The following is a 19,449-nucleotide window of genomic DNA, read 5'->3' as shown; positions in this document are numbered from 1 at the left end:
ATTTGATTACTACTAATGGCCGAAATTCATGTAAAATAAAGTCTAGTGCTTATACAGAAACATCCTAGTTCTTCCAAATTCAAAAATAAGGCATTAAAACCAAGTGTTGGCCGGGCGCGGTGACTCAAGCCTGTAATCCCAACACTTTGGGAGGCTGAGGCAGGCGGATCACCAGGTCAGGAGATAGAGACCATCCTGGCTAACACAGTGAAACCACGTCTGTCTTTACTAAAAATACAAATAAATAAAATAAAATAAAATAAATAGCCAGGCGCCTGTAGTCCCAGCTACTCCGGAGGCTGAGGCAGAGAATGACGCAAACCCGAAAGGCGGAGCTTGCAGTGAGCCAAGATCGCGCCAGTGCACTCCAGCCTGGTCCACAGAGTGAGACTCCGTCTCAAAACAAAAAAAACGACAATAACAAAAAAAAAATGTGTTATTGTTAAATCCAAGTTGGTAAGGATGTCACTAAAGTCTCTTCTTGTTCTTCACTAAACTGCTCTTATAAGGAGGCACTAGCCTCACCATTCTGGAAGTTAGTTAGGTATACAGCATAGGCATAGGGTACCAGTCTCATCTGTGCTCCCCCAGTCCCGCCAACTTTTTTTAATCACAGGCTCTGGACACAGCTCTGCAGCCTGAAGTGAATGCTGCTTTTCCCACTGACTCTAGAGCTCCTAACTATTGAGGTCAGAACTTTTTCAACCACCATTCCCATAGCTTTATATCCTTCTGAGTCCTGCTTCTAGAATCAAATTATGACTTCCCATTGTGGATTCAAAGACCCTTTATTAATCTCCAATCCACAGCTCCCTGCTCCAGTAAAGCAGGCTAAGTAGCCATTTCCAGTCCAATAATTCACTTTCTCTGATCTTCTGTACCTTGCAGGCACATTAAAACCACTTGGGGGAACTCTAAAAAACAAAACATCCAGGTCTTATCGCACACCAATTAAATCATACCATGGCGGGCCTTGGCATAAATATTTTTTTAAGCTCCCCAGGTTATTGTAAAGTTCAGCCAAAAACAACTAGTGCAACAGAATCTTCCTCCTACTCCTCATCTCCTTGTCTCAGCCCCACAAGATCATCTGGAAAAATAAACACCCTAAATGACTACTTTCTTGGCTAATAACATAAATATGATTGGTGTAATTATTCTTGTTTTTATCCTGCTCTTTAATCACTAAGGGTGGCTTGTAGGTATTGTCTTATACAATTTTTTAAAATTATGAACTCAAGGCCAAGAACTGACCTGATGTACACAGATTGATGTACATCCTTAATGTGGAATCCTGCTTGTTTAGTCAACTCTCTCTAGTAACGTGCCTGCCTTCCTGATGTTCTAATTCTTACTATACATACAAGTGGTTATCTTACAAAAGTTGCTGCCAGAGCTAAACACACTATACATGTAAAACTAATTTTTTGGCATTACATTTTTTCATCTCTGTCCATACTTCCACTTCTCCCATTGCTCCCCAAATTGCAATATTGGGCTAGCTTCTCCTCATCATAGGCAAGCAAATTGGAAACAAACTACTGCTTTTTTTTTTTTTTTTTTTTTGCGACAAGGTCTCACTCTGTCACCCAGGCTGGAGTGCAGTGGCGCAATCATGGCTCACTGCAGCCTCAACCTCCCGGGCTGAAGGGATTCTCCCACCTCAGCCTCCAAGTAGCTGAGACTACAGGCATGTGCCACCACACCCAGCTTTTAAAAAATTTTTTGGTAGAGACGGGGGTCTCACTATGTTGCTCAGGCTGGTCTCAAACTCCTGGGCTCAAGTGATCCTCCTGCCTTGGCCTCCCAAAGTGGTGGGATAACATGAGTGAGCCATCACACCCAGCCTCCGCCCAGTCTTGAATGAAGAGAAACATCAATATGACCCATGATATTGTTTAACTGGTTAACAAAGTAATTCTCCTGCAACTACTATATCAACACTGTCTTCTTATGTTTGACATATAGACTTCAAAGCACTTTAAAATCTTTCCTGCCAGGTGCGGTGGCTCACACCTGTAATCCCACCACTTTGGGAGGCCGAGGAGGGCGGATCACGAGGTCAGGAGTTCAGGACCAGCCTGACCAACACCGTGAAACCCCCTCTCTACTAAAAATACAAAAATTAGCCGGGGGTGGTGGGGGTGTGCACGCCTGTATTCCCAGCTACACAGGAGGCTGAGGCAGGAGAATCGCTTGAACCCCGGAGGCAGAGGTTGCAGTGAGCTGAGATCGCACCACTGCACTCCAGCCTGGGTGACAGAGCAAGACTCCATCTCAAAAAAAAAAAAAAACTTTCCTCATTTGATCTTCACAACACCTTCGTAAACTAGGTATTATCCTCACATTATGAATGAGAAAACTGAAAGCAAGGTTAAAACTCTGGCCTCCTGACTTGTTTTCCAGGACCTTTTTCATGACAATAATCCTTATTCTTACAAAAACATTAAAAATGCTTTACGCGGGCCGGGCGCGGTGGCTCACTCCTGTAATCCCAGCACTTTGGGAGGCCGAGGCGGGCGGATCACCTGAGGTCAGGAATTCAGGACTAGCCTAGCCAACATGGTAAAACCCTGTCTCTACTAAAAATAAAAAATTAGCTGGGTGTGGTGTCGCCTGTAGTCCCAGCTACTCGGGAAGCTGAGGCAGGACAATCTCTTGAACCCAGGAGGCAGAGGTTGCAGTGAGCCGAAACCACGCCACCGCACTCCAGCCTGGGAGACTGCAGTGAGCTGAGATCGTGCCACTGCACTCCAGCCTGGGGGACAGAGTGAGACTCCGTCTCAAAAAAAAAAAAAAAAAAAAAAAAAAAAAACCACTCAGCTGGGCTTGGTGGCTGTAATCCCACTACTTTGGGAGGCCAAGACAAGTGGATTATTTGAGGTCAGGAGATCGGCCTGGCCAACATGGTGAAACCCCATCTCTACTAAAAATACAAAAATTAGCTGGGCATGGTGGCAGGCGCCTGTTATCCCAGCTACTTGGGAGGCTGAGGCAGGAGAATTGCTTGAAGCTGGGAGCCAGAGGTTGCAACGAGCCAAGATTGGGCCACTGCACTCTAGCATGGACAACAGAAAGAGACTCCATCTCAAAAAAAAAAAAAAAAAGGTTTCCACAAAGAGCTTTACGTTACACAAAATTTATAGGGAAAAGCAATCATTGAATTACCCTAGCACCCTAGCAAAAGAATTACTGTTTTCCTATGTTTTGAAAAAGTGAATTAAATATATACTTCATATTTAAAACAAAATGTTATACTTTTGCTAGAACTTTTTCAGTTTGTGTAGCTTTGGAGTTATAATATGGATAGAATGAGACTCTTTAGTCTGTAAAAACGCATACCTCTCCAAGGTGTTTATACTGCTTTGCAGAACAATCACTCAATAGGGCAGAATCTAGGAAGAAACCAGACAAGGGAACAGGACCCAAAAGTAAAATCTTAAATTCTGTAATTTTGTAATTGAAGGGCCTTTTCCCCAATTCTGGCAATCCTACTCCAGAATAAAGGAACTTATATTACCATGTTGTTCAATCTTCACATTAGAGAGAGGAAAATAACATCTTTGTAAATTAGGTAGTTTGCCCCATACAAGTAGAGAATGTTAAGCAAGGACCATCATCCACTTTTTAACTCCTACTTCTGGTGGTCTTCATACTATATGATCATTCATTGAGCAACCATGTGCCTAACAGCATGTGGCATCATGAGGAATACAAAATAATACATGGCCTCTGTTCTTGGGTAGCTTAAGTTTTAGACCAGTTTTAAGATTTTACAGTAAATACTAGCTTTGCTAGTAAACATAAAGCCACATAGCTCAATGAGGTTTTATTATTTTATGGATTTTTTTTTTTGAGATGGAGTTTCACCCTTGTCACCCAGGCTGGTGTACAGTGCCGCAATCTCGGCTCACTGCAACTTCCACCTCCAGGGTTCAAGTGATTCTCCTGCCTCAGACTCCCGAGTAGCTGGAATTACAGGCACCCACCACCACGCCCAACTAATTGTCTTTTTAGCAGAGATGGGGTTTTGCCATGTTGGCCAGGCTGGTCTCAAACTCCTGACCTCAGGTGATCCGCCCGCCTCAGCCTCCCAAAGTGCTGGGATTACAGGCATGAGCCACCATGCCCGGCCTTTATCAAGTATTTTATTTGAAATGTAACCTGGGAATTTTTGAGAGCATTGCAGGACACTGTTTTTGAGGCATCTCTGGGCTGGAATATCTGCCTTCTTTGATGGGAGGATGGTCTCCTTTTTTTTTTTTGAGACAAGAGTCTCGCTCTGTTGCCCAGGCTGGAGTGCAGTGGCGCGATCTAGGCTCACTGCAAGCTCTGCCTCCCGGGTTCACGCCATTCTCCTGCCTCAGCCTCCTGAGTAGCTGAGACTACAGGCGCCCACCACCACACCCGGCTAATTTTTTCTATTTTTTAGTAGAGACGGGGTTTCACAGTGTTAGCCAGGATGGTCTCGATCTCCTGACCTCATGATCCACCCGCCTCGGCCTCCCAAAGTGCTGGGATTACAGGTGTGAGCCACCACACCCGGCCAGGAGGTTGGTCTTAAGGGTAAATTTTTTTTTTTTTTTTTTGAAGAGGCAATTTAATTGACCAAGTTGAGAAAAGTCATTGTGAATGTGTGTATACATGATTGTGGCCAGTTACTCATTTAAAAAGAAACTAAAACAAAGCCAGAAGGAATAACATCCTAGAAAGTGACAAATGACTCCTGCAAGATACATAAACCTAACCTTCTAGATACATACACAGAACCTTCCATATTGTTTTCTGCAAGAAACAATATGCTCTGGCCCATGATACTTCTGCAGAGCAGCCTCCGTTTTTGGCAAATTCACTTCAAATTCAGCCCAGCTTTATGACCCCCCGTCTGGTTGGTCCTGTAAAATCTGATAGCCGATATACTGAACACCTCCTGTGAGCGTCCTGTGTTACATACTACATAGGTTTCCCCTTGAGCCTTAACACCTCTGAGACACAGGTATTATTATCCCTATCCTATAGATAAGGAAACTAAGGCTCAGGATGGTTAAATAATACATCAGTTATCTTACTTACGATGTCAGGACTTGAATCGAGGACTCCAGAGTCCCTGCTCATAACCATTAAGCTGTACTAACATACATGATGTATTGTTGTTAAGGCCCTGCACACTCCCTGCCCCCACCAATTTGATCTAACTTGAGTATCTTTTGCTTGTAAGAGTCTGAAACATTTTAAAACAAAGAACGGACCAGGCACGGTAATCCCAGTACTTTGGGAGGCCAAGGCAGGCAGATCACAAGGTCAGGAGTTCCAGACCAGCCTGACCAACATGGTGAAACTCCATCTCTACTGAAAATACAAAAATTAGCTAGTTGTGGTGGTGTGCACCTGTAATCCCAGTTACTCGGAAGCTGAGGCAGGACAATCACTTGAAGCCAGGAGGCAGAGGTTGCAGTAAGCCGAGATCGTGCCACTGCACTCCAGCCTGGGCCACAGAGCCAGACTCCGTCTCAAAAACCAAAACCAAAACCAAAGAACAGCCTCTGTGTATAAACCCTGTGAGAAATGACTGCTCCTTTGCTACAGATAAAGAACTGGAGCTAGGCCAGGCAAGGAGGCTCACACCTATAATCTCAGCTCTTTGGGAGGCCTTGGCAGGAGGATCACTTGAACTTAGGAGTTCAAGACCAGCCTAAGCAACACAGCAATACAGTGAGACTTCTCTAAAAACAATTTTTCAGCAAAAACAAACAAAAAACCAAGACTAAAGAGAACAGGGTTAGAAATATCAATCAGGTTGCCGGGCGCGGTGGCTCATGCCTGTAATCCCAGCACTTTGGGAGGCCGAGGAGGGTGGATCACAAACTCAGGAGATCGGGACCATCCTGGCTAACACGGTGAAACCCCATCTCTACTAAAAATACAAAAAATTAGCCGGGCGTGGTGGCGGGCGCCTGTAGTCCCAGCTACTCAGGAGGCTGAGGCAGAATGGCGTGAACCCAGGAGGCGGAGTGCAGTGAGCCGAGACCGTGCCACTGCACTCCAGCCTGGGCAACAGAGCAAGACTCCGTCTCAAAAAAAAAAAAAAAAATCAGGCACAAAGAAAGAAAAAAAAAAACATATTTGGTGACATCAGAGGTCCTTGTCCGTAAGAAAATATTTTTGAGAAAGAAAGATGCTTTTGTTCATGGCTACTGAGCTGCCCTCAGGCAGTCACTGAGGATGCTTTTTGTAGTTTAAGAAGCTAAGACATGAGAGGAAGGGCAGGAGTCCTGCCCCTCCTCAGAGAAAATCTGAGCAGAAATTAGGGATTCCCATTCCATTTGGAATGAGGTCCTTTTTTTTTTTTTTTTTTAATATCAACGAGGCTTGTGTGGACTGTTATTACCGAGTAAGTCACAGGGTCTGGTCCTGGTTGAGATAGACATGAACATCACTTCTCAGATATGCTCAAGAGAAGCCCAGCAGAGCCCCACACCTTCCCCGCTAATAGGAAACTTGCACACATTATTAATGAAAAGGGAAGTAGGAGTTTCCAATACTAAATGTTCAGCAGAAAAGGAGCAGGGCCATCTTCTTGCACTTTCTAGACAATCAACCAACTTCCATTTATTTTCACAACTGTGGCTAAACCAGAGGTTCATCCAATGGTGACAATGGAAAACCTAGTAAGCAAAGAGTAAATCTGGTTATAGTCAACACCTGGATCCACTCTAAGGGAATGGTGCTTATGTGTGATAGTGACAGCTTCTTGGTCCAAAAGGCTGACAGATGAAGAGCACGTTTCTGGGGTTTCCCCTTTCCTATCTTGTCTGGTCATGACAAGCAGTTCTCATGTATTTCTTTAACTGAAGTGTTAAATTGCATGGTTTCTCTCAGGAGCACTTGATAGGCCAAGAGTTTCTCCTCCACACTTTCTGTTGGACACCTTATCCTTCCCACTGATCCATTTTACTTACCCACTTTTGAATCTTAAGCAAACACTCTTTGGAACTGGCCTGCAGTTCTAACTGATAGGGGATTGATGAAAGAAAAGAGTAACAGTTGAACTCTCTTTTATTCTTGGGCTGAGGCTTAGTATCGCACCTGCTTCCGTCTCTCTGGGATGGCCTTGCACATCGCCTTTCGTTCCATCTGAGGGCTCTTCCTTCATTCGTATTTGAATTGTGTTCACTTTTTGCCAAAGTTTAGGTCCCTGCTGGCTACACAGTTCCTTTCAGAAGGGACTGCGGGATCTATCTGCAGCCATTTCAATCCACAGGTCTCTTTCACTAATAAGCTGTGTTCTTGGCAAATCTTTGAGTAAAAAAGTATTTAAAGTGTTACCTAGTCCCACATCTCACCTACTTTAGGAGTCCCTCCTCCAGCATACCCTGGCAAATGCTTGAAATCCACTCAGAAAAGGGAACTCAGCACCTAGACAATACTTTGGCTCTTCTCCCTTTTCACTGGGGAAATCAAGGTGCAAACTAGAGCTGAATCTCACATTCAAGTTCCTAGTGGGTTGCCAATGAAGCCAGAACCTTGGCTTTGGGATTCCCAGCACCCCTAAATTTTCCCATGGTATAGGTCCAGATTCTGGCTAGAAAGCTCTTAATCCCAATATGCTAGGGTATTGCCCATCATGTCTTGTTCTGTATTATTGGGCTTTTTCACTGTAAGTTATGACAGCAGACACACATTTCTTGTGTCTCCCATGGTCCCTGGTATTGTGAATGTCATGGAGCAGATGTTTTCTAAGTGTGATTATCCTACAGAGCAACATGTTCAGACATAGCCTTCCCAGAAGCAAAGTTAGCTGGGCTAACACCTTCTTCTAGTGTTGTTATGCATAACTAGAGAGAGTGAAGGATGGGCTAGGTGATGAGCAAAAAAATGGGTCCTTTCCTTATCACTTCATCAAGAAAATATCCTGTCTAAACATTTCCAGACCTTGTTCTAGACCTCAGGAAGAAGCAGAGGAAACAAGAGTATAGGAATAAACCAGTTTCCTGCCCAAGATGTAAGACTTCTGCATTCTGTCTTCTACCTCAGGATTCCAAGTGGGAGTAAAACAACAAATCAAATAAATTTTAGTCAAGTTTCAACAAGAATTTATCTGCTTTGACTTTGCTGTCTTATTTAGCTTTGCCTGGACAGAAGCCAAAGACAGAGACAGAACTTTGGCAGGAAAAGGAATGTATCACAGACTTTTTTTGAATAATTCCTAGAGGCTCACTTTTTTTCCTTTCAACAGCCTCATTGTGCAGATGAAAATTTGAGATCCATAAAGGAAACAGAACTTAGGCCCAGTTGCAAAGCCACTTAGGAGCAGACTCAGATGCTCCCAGGTGATTAAATCACCCCAAGAAAAGAACATGTGGTAGTCAAAGTCCCTAAAAGCAACACAGGCAAGAACAAACTGTTGTCTATGCATGGTGCTTAGCTCTCAGTGATCTAGGAATTTCCTCAATCTGTCCACTGCCAATGGGATACAGCCAGATAGGGTGAACATACACTCTCTCTGATGGCTCAAGGAAGCTGCATTATAACACTGTTATCATCTCACTACTGAGGACCAAGAGTTCACTGGCACTTTCTGAAGCTCCATGCTTCTGGAAAGTGCTGTGATCTTTGTTGCTGATGATTGTCAAGAATATCAGACACCAGGAATGGAGAAGCCAACTTACTGGCTTGGAAAAGATAAGAATTTGATGTGAACGACTCTCAGAACATGGTGTAGGCACAAATTTTAAGCTGTTCTGTCATTGTTAAGCCAGCTATTTCTCTGAGATCTCTAGCTTTTAAAGCTGGGGCTAAGAAAACCGTTTCCAATTTTTTTAACCAGGACCTTGGCAAAGATTTCTGGCAGTTTAAATGGCAATAAGAGCCTGTTTCAAATCAAGCCAGTATAGTTAAGGAATATTCTCCTTAATAATCTTTTAAAGTCAGATTTCTTGTTCAACCAATATTAAACAAAATTTATGTGAATAATTAATCTAAGAAACCTAGGCAGGCAGTCTTGAGTTACCATGTTTCAGGGAAAGACAGCCACAGAGGTGTGTGAACAGATCTTGGCTGGTTTTGAGAGAGGAGGCAGCAACATAAACAGTGGCTTAAGCACTTTCTCCAACAACCATCTTAGCTATCAAAGAACTAATAAAAGGCTTTATAGTTAAACATTCTCATGCCTTATGATGGGCTTCCAGTTTTGGAGGCTCTTCTCATGTATCTGTCTCTACCTAGAGACATAATCTACTATCAACCTGCTGTTCTCTGAGAACAAGAGAACTAGAGGTTAAATCCTGCTTTCCAACCTCTCCGCAATATTCTTGTAACTTCTGCTTTTGTTGTATCTTTGAAAAGATGGACATGCTGGGCTCCTTTCCAGGTCTTTCTGGGTTTCAAAATGTGGTATTCTTGTAAGGGTGTGAAATTCCAAAACACAAGCATGTCTCTAGTCAAGTGTATAGGACCCCAAATTCATTGATGTGCCAGATAATAATTACTGTGGGTGTTGGATGGGGCTCACAGACCTTCTCTTGGATTTTGTGCCCTGCTGTGAGCATATACAAGCATGAAGCCACAGAGATTTGGATTTACAAAACTCCCCCTCCACTCCCTTCCCCATACCACTGGTTGGTCTCTAGACCTTCAGTGTTGACACCCAGGCCAGAAGTTTCAAGCCCAGTTATGAGGGGACCTGGTGGGTTGGGTGGCTGACCTGATGGGTCACTATCACCCCCACAGCCTCCATTGTGGCCTGAACGGAGGTGGTCCTTGAGTGTCTGTTTGTAGCGGAAGCTCCTGCCACAGTAGGAGCAGGGGTAGGGCCGCTCCCCGGTGTGGATGCGCTGGTGTTTCATTAGGTGGTGCTTGCGGATGAAGCTCTTGCCACAGTGAGGACAACTGAAGGGCCGCTCGCCTGTGTGCAGCCGCCGGTGGTTCAGCAGGTGCTCCTTGCGCATGAAGCTCTTACTGCAGTCAGTGCAGGGGTAAGGACGCTCGCCTGTGTGGATCATCTGGTGGCGGATCAGGGCCGAGTGGCCGTTGAAGTCAATGCCACACTGAGGGCAGGAGAAAGGGCGCTCTTGTGCATGACCCCGCTGGTGGAGCAGGAGGCTGATTTTCAAGCTGAAGCTCCTGCCGCACTGGGCACAGCGGAAGGGCCTTTCGCTTGCATGAGCTCTCCGGTGGCTGGTGAGTCGAGCCTGGTCAGCAAAGCGCTTGGGGCAATCAGGACAGGGGAAAGGACGCTCAGTGCTGTTATGGACCCGAAGATGGTAGGTAAGTCTTGATGGGTGAGTAAAAGTCCTGGCACAGTGTGGGCAGGTGGGGGGTGTCTCGCTGGCATGGTCCTGGGAGGTGCTGCTGAGGTCCGCCTGTGGAGTAAAGTGCTTAGGGCACTGGGCACAGGGTAAGGGGTGCTCAGTAGCATGGCTACATTGGTGGGTCAGCAACATGTCTTGGCTGAGATTCTTGCCACAGTGGTGGCATGAGAACACCTGCTCGCCAACTGGAGGTGGGAGGGGATAGCTACCCAACTGAGTAAAAGTCACTTGTCCCTCAGAGGCTTCAGGCAGGTCAGTGGCTGGACGTCCAAAAGGTGTCATGGATGTAGACTGCTGGCTTTTGAAAGCCACATCTGAAAAAGCATCCTTTGCTGCTGCTGGTGGAGAAGAGAAAGGGACTGGAACCTCAGGGCACAACGAGGATCTAGCAAGGCCTTCAGCTTTGATGACAAGCTCTTCATCTGAAAGAAAAGACTCCAGAGTTATACCCATCAATAACTGTCTCACTAGCAACTCTCATGCATTCCTACCCAGCTCTAACAGATCACTCGAAGCTCAGATCAGAAATACAGCAGAAGGCTGCAATAATAACCGAGACATCTGTGGTCTCTGTGGCAAATCATCAGAGAAATGAAATGACACTTTAAATTTATTTTATGACAGGATCACATTCTGTTGCCCACGATGGAGTACAGTGGCGTGACCTCAGCTCACTGCAGCCTCCACTACCTGGGTTCAAGTGATTCTCCTGCCTTAGCCTCCTGAGTAGCTGGGATTACAGGCATGCACTACCGTGCTCAGGTAATTTTTTTTTTTTGAGACGGAGTCTCGCTCTGTCGCCCAGGCTGGAGTGCAGTGGCACAAACTCGGCTCAATGCAAGCTCCGCCTCCCGGGTTCACGCCATTCTCCTGCCTCAGCCTCCCGAGTAGCTGGGACTACAGGCACCCGCCACTACGCCCAACTAATTTTTTTGTCTTTTTAGTAGAGACAGGGTTTCACTGTGTTAGCCAGGATGGTCTCGATCTCCTGACCTCATGGTCCACCCACCTCGGCCTCCCAAAGTGCTGGGATTACAGGCATGAGCCACCGCGTCCAGCTGTGCTCAGGTAATTTTTATATTTTTAGTAGAGATGGGGTTTTGCCATATTGACCAGGGGTCTCGAACTCCTGGTGTCAAGTAATCCACCTGCCTCAGCCTCCCAAAGTGCTGGGATTACAGGCATGAGCCACCACACCCAGCCCTCATCAGAAAATTTAACACTGTACCTCTTCTATGCTATCTGTTAAGAAACAGAAAATCCTTGGCATCAATCTTCCCAACGTTACTTTCACTATATTTTACCTCTACTCAAGAACTTTCTCTATTGCCTGTTGTGACAAAGCCTAAAATCACATAATTATCTATTCCTATTTCTCTGTATTCTATCAGATCAACCCATCACTGTGGTCAGCTGTCTCTTTACTTCCCCTGAGAACAGAGTATACATTTCTGCTATGCATCTTGACTTACTCTGTCCTCCCTTTTGTAGAATGCTACCCCTCTCTCCCCATCTTTCCAAATTATACCCAGCCATATCATACCAATCTTTTAAGGTACAATTGTGGCTTTATGCCCTTCTTTAGGTCTTATCTAAATACCTAAACTAAAACTGATGCATATTTTCCTTTTTTTTAGAGACAGGGTCTCCCTATGTTACCCAGGCTGGTCTTGAACTCCTGGGCTCGAGTGATCCACCTGCCTCAACCTCCTCCCAAAATGCTGGGCTTACAGGCACGAGTCACCAAGCCAAACCTGATGCATGTTCCTGAAACTTCTCATTCATTTATATAAGTCGTCCACCCCACTCATCCTTGACACTTAACAGGCTTGCCTAGTACTGATATGTATGTCCCTAGCATAAGTTTTTTCAAGAGCTAAAACTATCTTATGTTTCATTTGTGTTTCCCAGTCTAAAAGAACACAGAGCACAGAAAATACTAAAAAAAAAACAGAATGCATTAAGCTGTATAAATGACTGGGACCCTTCTGATCTTGAGATTCTCTTCTACAATACAAATGGCAAAAGTATCTTAGAAGGAAGATACTTATATTTCTTCTCCCATCATTGATTTTCCTTTCACTGAGGGAGGGCTCTTAATTAACATTCCCATTTACACCTCTCCATGGCCATTTCTGTCTCCAGGGCTTGTCTCCCCACCCCACTCCCACGTTTTCTACCCTTTCTACATGATTTTCAAATCGTCTTCTGTCTTTCCCCATCCCCATAATTTTGGTTCGTCTGTATGCACTTGTTTTTCTTCTTCTGACAATTCTCATTTGTCTTTGCATGTAAGAGTGTATTTTCTCACTCACTTCAAATTTATCTTAGTGACTGTTTGGTTTCATTCATAATGTTGAGCATGGCTTTTTCTTTCCCTCATTCTTCTCCCACATATTTGCCTCTACAAATTTCACCTGCTGTTTCTTCAGTCAGTCCTGGCATGAGCTGGATATGGACATGAACACCTCTTTAATTTCATACTCACCAGCATAAGTGCTTTTGTACACGTCACTCTCCTTGGACTCCGGTGGGGCCCCAACCTGAGGCTCTTCTTCTTGTTTAATCCAAGACAGAATATCTGATGTTGAAATACCAGGCTCTAATTTGTGGGAGGAAAAAAAAATGGCCTTCATGAACTTGAATAAGAAGGTAAGATAATCAAGTTGGTTTGCTGAACACTATATTTTGCCCCAAATATTTTTCCTTTCTTTTTTTCTTTTTTTGAGACAGAGTCTCGCTCTGTCACCCAGGCTGGAGTGCAGTGGCACGATGGCTCACTGCAAGCTCCGCCTCCCAGGTTCAAGCCATTCTCCCCGCTGCCTCAGCCTCCCGAGTAGCTGGGACTACAGGCGCCTGCCACCACGCCCAGCTAAGTTTTTTTTAAATTTTTTTGTTTTTAGTAGAGATGGGGTTTCACCGTGTTAGCCAGGATGGTCTCGATCTCCTGACCTCATGATCCGCCCACCTTGGCCTCCCAAAGTGCTGGGATTACAGGCTTGAGCCACCGCGCCCGGCCCCAAATATTTATTTCTAAATAACTATAACAATAACACAGAACCAGCCTTTTAAAAAATGCATACAGGATGGGTGTGGTAACTCACGCGTGTAAGCCCAGAACTTTGGGAGGCCGAGGCAAGTGGATCATTTGAGGTCAAGAGTTCAAGATGAGCCTGACCAACGTGGCAAAACCCTGTCTCTACTAAAAATAAAAAAAATTAGTCAGGCGTGGTGGCAGGCGCCTGTAATCCCAGCTACTCAGGAGACTGAGGCAAGAGAATTGCTTGAACCTGGGAGGCAGCGGCTGCAGTGAGCCGAGATCGCACCATTGCACTCCAGCCTGGGCAACAAGAGCAAAAAAACTCCATTTCAAAACAAACAAACAAACAAAAAACAAATCAACTTCCAGAATTACAAAGTTAGTTCAGTATAGACACAGAATCCAACTCCCTAGAAACACACTTTTCAGATTCCCAATTCTGGGCTCTTTCTATGAGATATATTATCTTTGTCTATTAAATGATACAAGTCATTGTTTCCTAAATGCTGGGAGGGGGAAGAATATAGTATTGGCAAGTCCTTCAGGTCTTGGGGGTTCTTTCTGAAAGAAAAAGTGCACAGCCAATATCGGCTTTGCACACAACATGCCTCATCTGATCAGTACCAAAACAGCTGTGCTAGCTATTACAACCTAGGCCTATATGGCTTTATTATTTTTTTTTTTTTGGACTAAATGGACAAGTTGGCAAGCTGACAAGAGAGCTTGTCAAGCTCCAGAGAGTCCCCTGAAGCTCTCTATAGTTATTTCTCAAACACAGCCTTGTGGGCAGAATATGGTTTAATTCACAGCAAATTAACAGAACTGACTACTTTACCCAATGTCTTCTAAATCAGTTAGACGCCACTGAAATCTAAAGGTGTTCTCAAAGCAGAAATAAGAGGCTGGGGTAAGACGAAAGCCCAAACGACCATCGGTTATGGGGAGCGATTTGGGAAATAGATTTTAGCATATGCAACAGTTGCCTTGCCAACCTCCTGTTCTGACCTAAAAGAAAAGCTGAAGTGTATTAAACATAGTCCAATCTTATCTTTGTTCTCTTCCAGATGTTATACACATACATATCTATAAGGAAAAAGGCAGAGGGGGGGAAAGACTGGATATAAGGAAGAAAACCTCTGAACCGATATCCAGAGGATTAACTTTCCATTCAAAACATCTGACTTTTGTTTGTTTGTTTGTTTTTGAGACAGGGTCTCACTCTATCACCCAGGCTGGACTACAGTGGCGTAATCTTGGCTTACTGCAATCTCTGCCTCCCAGGCTCAAGCTATTATTCCACCTCGGTCTCCCTAGTAGCTGGGACCACAGGTGTGTGCCACCATGCCCAGCTAATTTTTTGTATTTTTGGTAAAGATGGGGTCTCACTATGTTGCTTAGGCTGTTCTTCAACTCCTGAGCTCAGGTGACCCACCTGCCTCAACCTCCCAAAGTGCTGGGATTATAGGCATGACCCACCATGCCTAGCCAAAAAACCTGACTTTTAAAACACTTACCTGCTTGTTTTTAAAAATTTTCTGAATGGGCTGGGCACAGTGGCTCACGCTCATAATCCCAGCACTTTGGGAGGCTGAGGTGGGCAGGTCACGAGGTCAGGAGTTCAAGACCACCCTGACCAACATGGTAAAACCCTGTCTCTACTAAAAATACAAAAATTAGTTGGCTGTGGTGGCACGCGCCTAGCTACAATTACTTGAGGAAGGGGGCTACACTAAACAACAAATTTTCATGTATGAGAAACAACTTTCTATTGGAAGAATATGTCATCTGGGACTTTCATAACTAGAGAGAAGTCAATGTCTGGCTTCAAAGGACAAGCTGACTCTCTTGTTACAGGCTGATGCAGCTGGTGACTTGAACCCGGTGTTCATTTTAGTATTCTGAAAACCCTAGGGCTCTTAAGAATTATGCTACATCAGGCCGGGCATGGTGGGTCACGCCTGTAATCCTAGCACTTTGGGAGGCCAAGGCGGGCGGATCACCTGAGGTCAGGAGTTTGAGACCAGTCTGACCAACATGGAGAAACCCTGTCTCTACTAAAAATACAAAATTAGCTGGGCGTGGTGGTGCATGCCTGTATTTCCTAGCTGCCCAGGAGGCTGAGGCAGGAGAATCGCTTGAACCCAGGAGGCGGAGGTTGCGGTGAGCCGAGATAGCGCCATTGCACTCCTGCCTGGGCAACAAGAGCCAAACTGTGTCTCAAAAAAAAAAAAAAAAAAAAAAAAAGAATTATGCTAAATCTACACTGCCTGTGCACTAGAAATGGAACAACAAAGCCTGGATGACAGCACATCTGTTACAGCACGGTTTACAGAATATTTTAAGCCCACTGTTCAGAACTACTGCTCAGAAGAAAAAATTCCTTTCAAAATACTAGTGCTCATTGACAACGCACCTGGTCACCCACAAGCTCTGATGGGGATGAACAAGGAGATGAGTGTTGTTTTCATCCCTGTAAAACAACATCCATTCTACAGCCCCGCAGATCAAGGAGTAATTTTTACTTTGAAGTCTTATTGCATAAGAAATTTATTTCAGCATCAATGCACTCCAGCCTGGGTGACACAGCTAGACTCTGTCTCAAAAAAATAAATAAACATATTTCAGCCAGGCATGGTGGCTCACGCTTGTAATCCCAGAACTTTGGGAGGCCGAGACGGGTGGATCACCTGAGGTCGGGAGTTCGAGATCAACCTGGCCAACATGGCGAAACCCCGTCTCTACTAAAAATACAAAAAAATGAGCCAGGCATGGTGGTAGGCGCCTGTAATCCCAGCTACTCAGGAGGCCGGGGCAAGAGAATTGCTTGAACCTAGGAGTCGGAGGTTGCAGTGAGCCGAGATCGTGCCACTGCACCCCAGTCTGGGCGACAGAGCAGGACTCTGTCTCAAAAAAAAAAAAAAAAAAAAAAAAAAAAATAGAAATTGCCACAGCCACCCCAACCTTTAGCAACCACCACCCGGATTAGTCAGCAGCCATCAATACTGAGGCAAGACCCGCCACTAGCAAAAAGATTATGACTCTGAAGGTTCAGATGATTGTTAGGATTCTTAGCAATATTTTTAAATTAAGGTATGTACATTGTTTTTTTAGACATAATTTATTGCCAACTTAATAGACTGTATAGCATAGTGTAAACTTAACTTTCACATGCACTGGGAAAACAAAAGTTATTGTTACTTGTACTGTGATATTCACTTTATTGCAGTAGTCTGGAACTGAACCCACAATATCCTGGAGATGCCTGTACTTGCCTTTAATGCTGTTTCCATATTAACTAAGTATTTATCACACACTGTGGCCGTAACTTTTGCAGTTTGAGGTGCAACAGTAGCACTAGTACAAATTTCTTTTACTTTCTTCACAGTTTCACAGATAGAAGATTTGTTCTTACCAGAGATCTTGGCAACCTCAGCATGTAACTTCCTTCCTTCCTTATTAAGTCAAGAAATTTCACCTTTTCACATAAAGGAAGCACTTGACGGCTTCTCTGATACATCTGAATTGCCACCATTACTACTTTTGCAGTTTGGGGCAATTATTTATTTTTAAAAAGGGGGGGAGCGCGGGGTACTTAACATAAGCACTGCAATACTGCCACAGTTGACATAGCTTCTAAGTGACTAATGGCCAGGTAGCGTATACAGTGTGGATGCACTGGACAAAGGGATGATTCACGCCCCAGATGAGACAGGGCAGGATAGTGCAAGATTTCATCATACTACTCAGAATGGCAAACTTAAAACTTATAAATTATTTCTGGAATTTTCCATTTAATATTTTCAGATCACAGTTGACGGCAGGTAACAAACTGTGGAAAACGATACCATCAATAAAGGGGGACTACTGTATGTAGTCTCTATGCTGATACAAAACTTCCCCTAAATGATGAGTGGTTGGCTGTACCTAACTGCAGTCACGTACCATGTAACATTTGTATAGTAGTACAAAGGTTTATATTTGTGCTGAATATAAGGACAGTTTTGAGCAAGACACATGGAGTCATGCACTGCATAATGGTGTTTTGGTCAAAAACAGGCCACTGTCGAGCATGGTGGCTCACATCTGTAATCCTAGCACTTTGGAAGGCCAAGGCAGGCAGATCACTTAAGTCCAGGTGTTTGAGACCACACTGGGCAACATGGCTATACCCCATCTCTATAAAAAAATAAAAAAATTAGCCAGGTGTGGTGGTTTGAGCCTACAGGCTATTTGGGAGGCTGAGGCAGGAGAATCACTTGAACCTGGGAGGCGGAGGTTGCAGTGAGCCAAGATCACACCACTGCACTCCAGCCTGGGCTACAGAGCAAGATTCCATCTCAAAATAAATAAATAATAAAAAGTAAATCCCAGCACTTTGGGAGGCCGAGGCAGGTGGATCATGAGGTCAGAGGCGGGTGGATCATGAGGTCAGGAATTTGAGACCAGCCTGGCCAACATGGTGAAACCTCGTCTCTAATAAAAATGCAAAAATTAGCCGGGCGTGGGGGCGCAGCATGCCTGTGATCCCAGCTACTGGGGAGGCTGAGGCAGGAGAATCACTTGAACCCAGGAGGCAGAAGTTGCAGTGAGCGGAGACTGCGCCACTGCAATCCAGCCTGGGCGACAGGGCAAGACTTCATTTCAAAAAAATAAGTAAAAAAATTTAAAAATAGGAAAAAGTTATAGAAAAAGGGTATAAAGAAAAAATATTTTTGTATATATGTACAATATGTTTTACACTAAGTGTTATTACAAAAGTCAGAAAGTTATAAAATAATAAAAGTATATTACTATATTATAAAGTAGTATTATAAGTATATTACTGTATTATAAAGTAATACAGTAAGCTAAGGTTAATTTATGGTTAAAGAAAAAATTTCTTGGCCAGGCGCGGTGGCTCATGCCTATAATCCCAGCACTTCGGGAGGCCAAGGTAGGTGGATCATGAGGTCAGCAGATCGAGACCATCCTGGTTAACATGGTGAAACCCCATCTCTTCTAAAAAAAAAAAAAAAAAAATTAGCCGGGCGTGGTGGCACGTGCCTGCAGTCCCAGCTACTCAGGAGGCTGAGGCAGGAGAATCACTTGAACCCAGGAGGCTCAAAAAAAAAAAAGAAAAAATGTTTCTATAAATTTAGTGTGGCCTAAGTATACAGTGTTTATAAAGTCTACAGCCTAGTAATGTCCTAGGCCTTCACATTCACTCACTGACTCAGTGAGAACAACTTCCAGTCCTGCAAGCTCCATTCATGGCAAGTGCCCTATAGAGATGTACCATTTTGTATTTTTTTTTTTGAGATGGAGTCTCGCTCTGTTGCCCAGGCTGGAGTGCAGTGGTGTAATCTCGGCTCACTGCAACCTCCGCATCCTGGGTTCAAGCAATTCTCCTGCCTTGGCCTCCCGAGTAGCTGGGACTACAGGCGCCCACCACCATGGCTGGCTAATTTTTTGGATTTTTAGTAGAGACAGGGTTTCACCGTGTCAGCCAGAATGGTCTCTATCTCCTGACCTCATGATCCACCCGCCTTGGCCTCAAAGTGCTGGGATTATAGGCATGAGCCACTGTGCCCAGCTCATTTTGTATCTTTTACACCAGATTTTTGCTGTACCTTTCCTATCTTTACATGTGTTTACAAACACAATTACCATTGTGTTACAATGGCCTACAGTATTCAGGACAATAATATGCTGTACAAGTTTGTAGCCTAGAAGCAATAGGCTATACTATATAGCCTAGGTACATAGAAAGCTACATCATCTAGTTTGTGTGAGTTCACGCTGTGATGTCTGCACAATGACAAAATCAACTAATGATGCATTTCTCAGAAGATATCCCCATTGTTCAGCAGCGCATGATTGTGTTTGTCAAACAGTGTGGTATATGCAGAACACGTGCTTTCCTTCTATGAGTCTGGAATTTGGGTAAGTGCTAGACAGAGGGTATGCATGTGATTAGCCCCCAATAAAAACCTTGGGCACTGAGTCTCTAATGAGCTTTTCTGGTTGTTACAACTCATTACTGGAACAATTAAGCATATCCTATAAGACTCCACTGGGAGAGGACTCTGGGAAGCCTGTCCCTGGTTTCCTGCAGACTTT

At 44.4% G+C, this 19,449-nt stretch overlaps 1 protein-coding gene across 5 annotated transcripts in view; it reads right to left on the bottom strand.

Annotated features, from left to right (window-relative positions):
* Positions 1-6,337: 6,337 nt before the first annotated feature.
* Positions 6,338-19,449, bottom strand: part of ZNF398 (zinc finger protein 398) — a 56,635-nt gene continuing 43,523 nt past the window's right edge. For all 5 annotated transcript variants that reach the window (NM_020781.4, XM_011516440.3, NM_170686.3 and 2 more), the window contains 2 exons: positions 12,799-12,912; positions 6,338-10,732 (listed from right to left, as the gene is read on the bottom strand). In NM_020781.4, coding sequence (NP_065832.1) covers positions 9,579-10,732; positions 12,799-12,912 — 1,268 coding nt within the window. In that variant the 3' untranslated portion in view covers positions 6,338-9,578. The remainder of the gene's footprint in view (positions 10,733-12,798; positions 12,913-19,449) is intronic.

The sequence above is a fragment of the Homo sapiens genome, chromosome 7 (genome assembly GCF_000001405.40).
Source record: "Homo sapiens chromosome 7, GRCh38.p14 Primary Assembly".
Classification (NCBI taxonomy): domain Eukaryota; kingdom Metazoa; phylum Chordata; class Mammalia; order Primates; family Hominidae; genus Homo; species Homo sapiens.
Note: the sequence above shows the minus strand (reverse complement) of the source record. Positions and strands in the feature narration are given on the sequence as shown.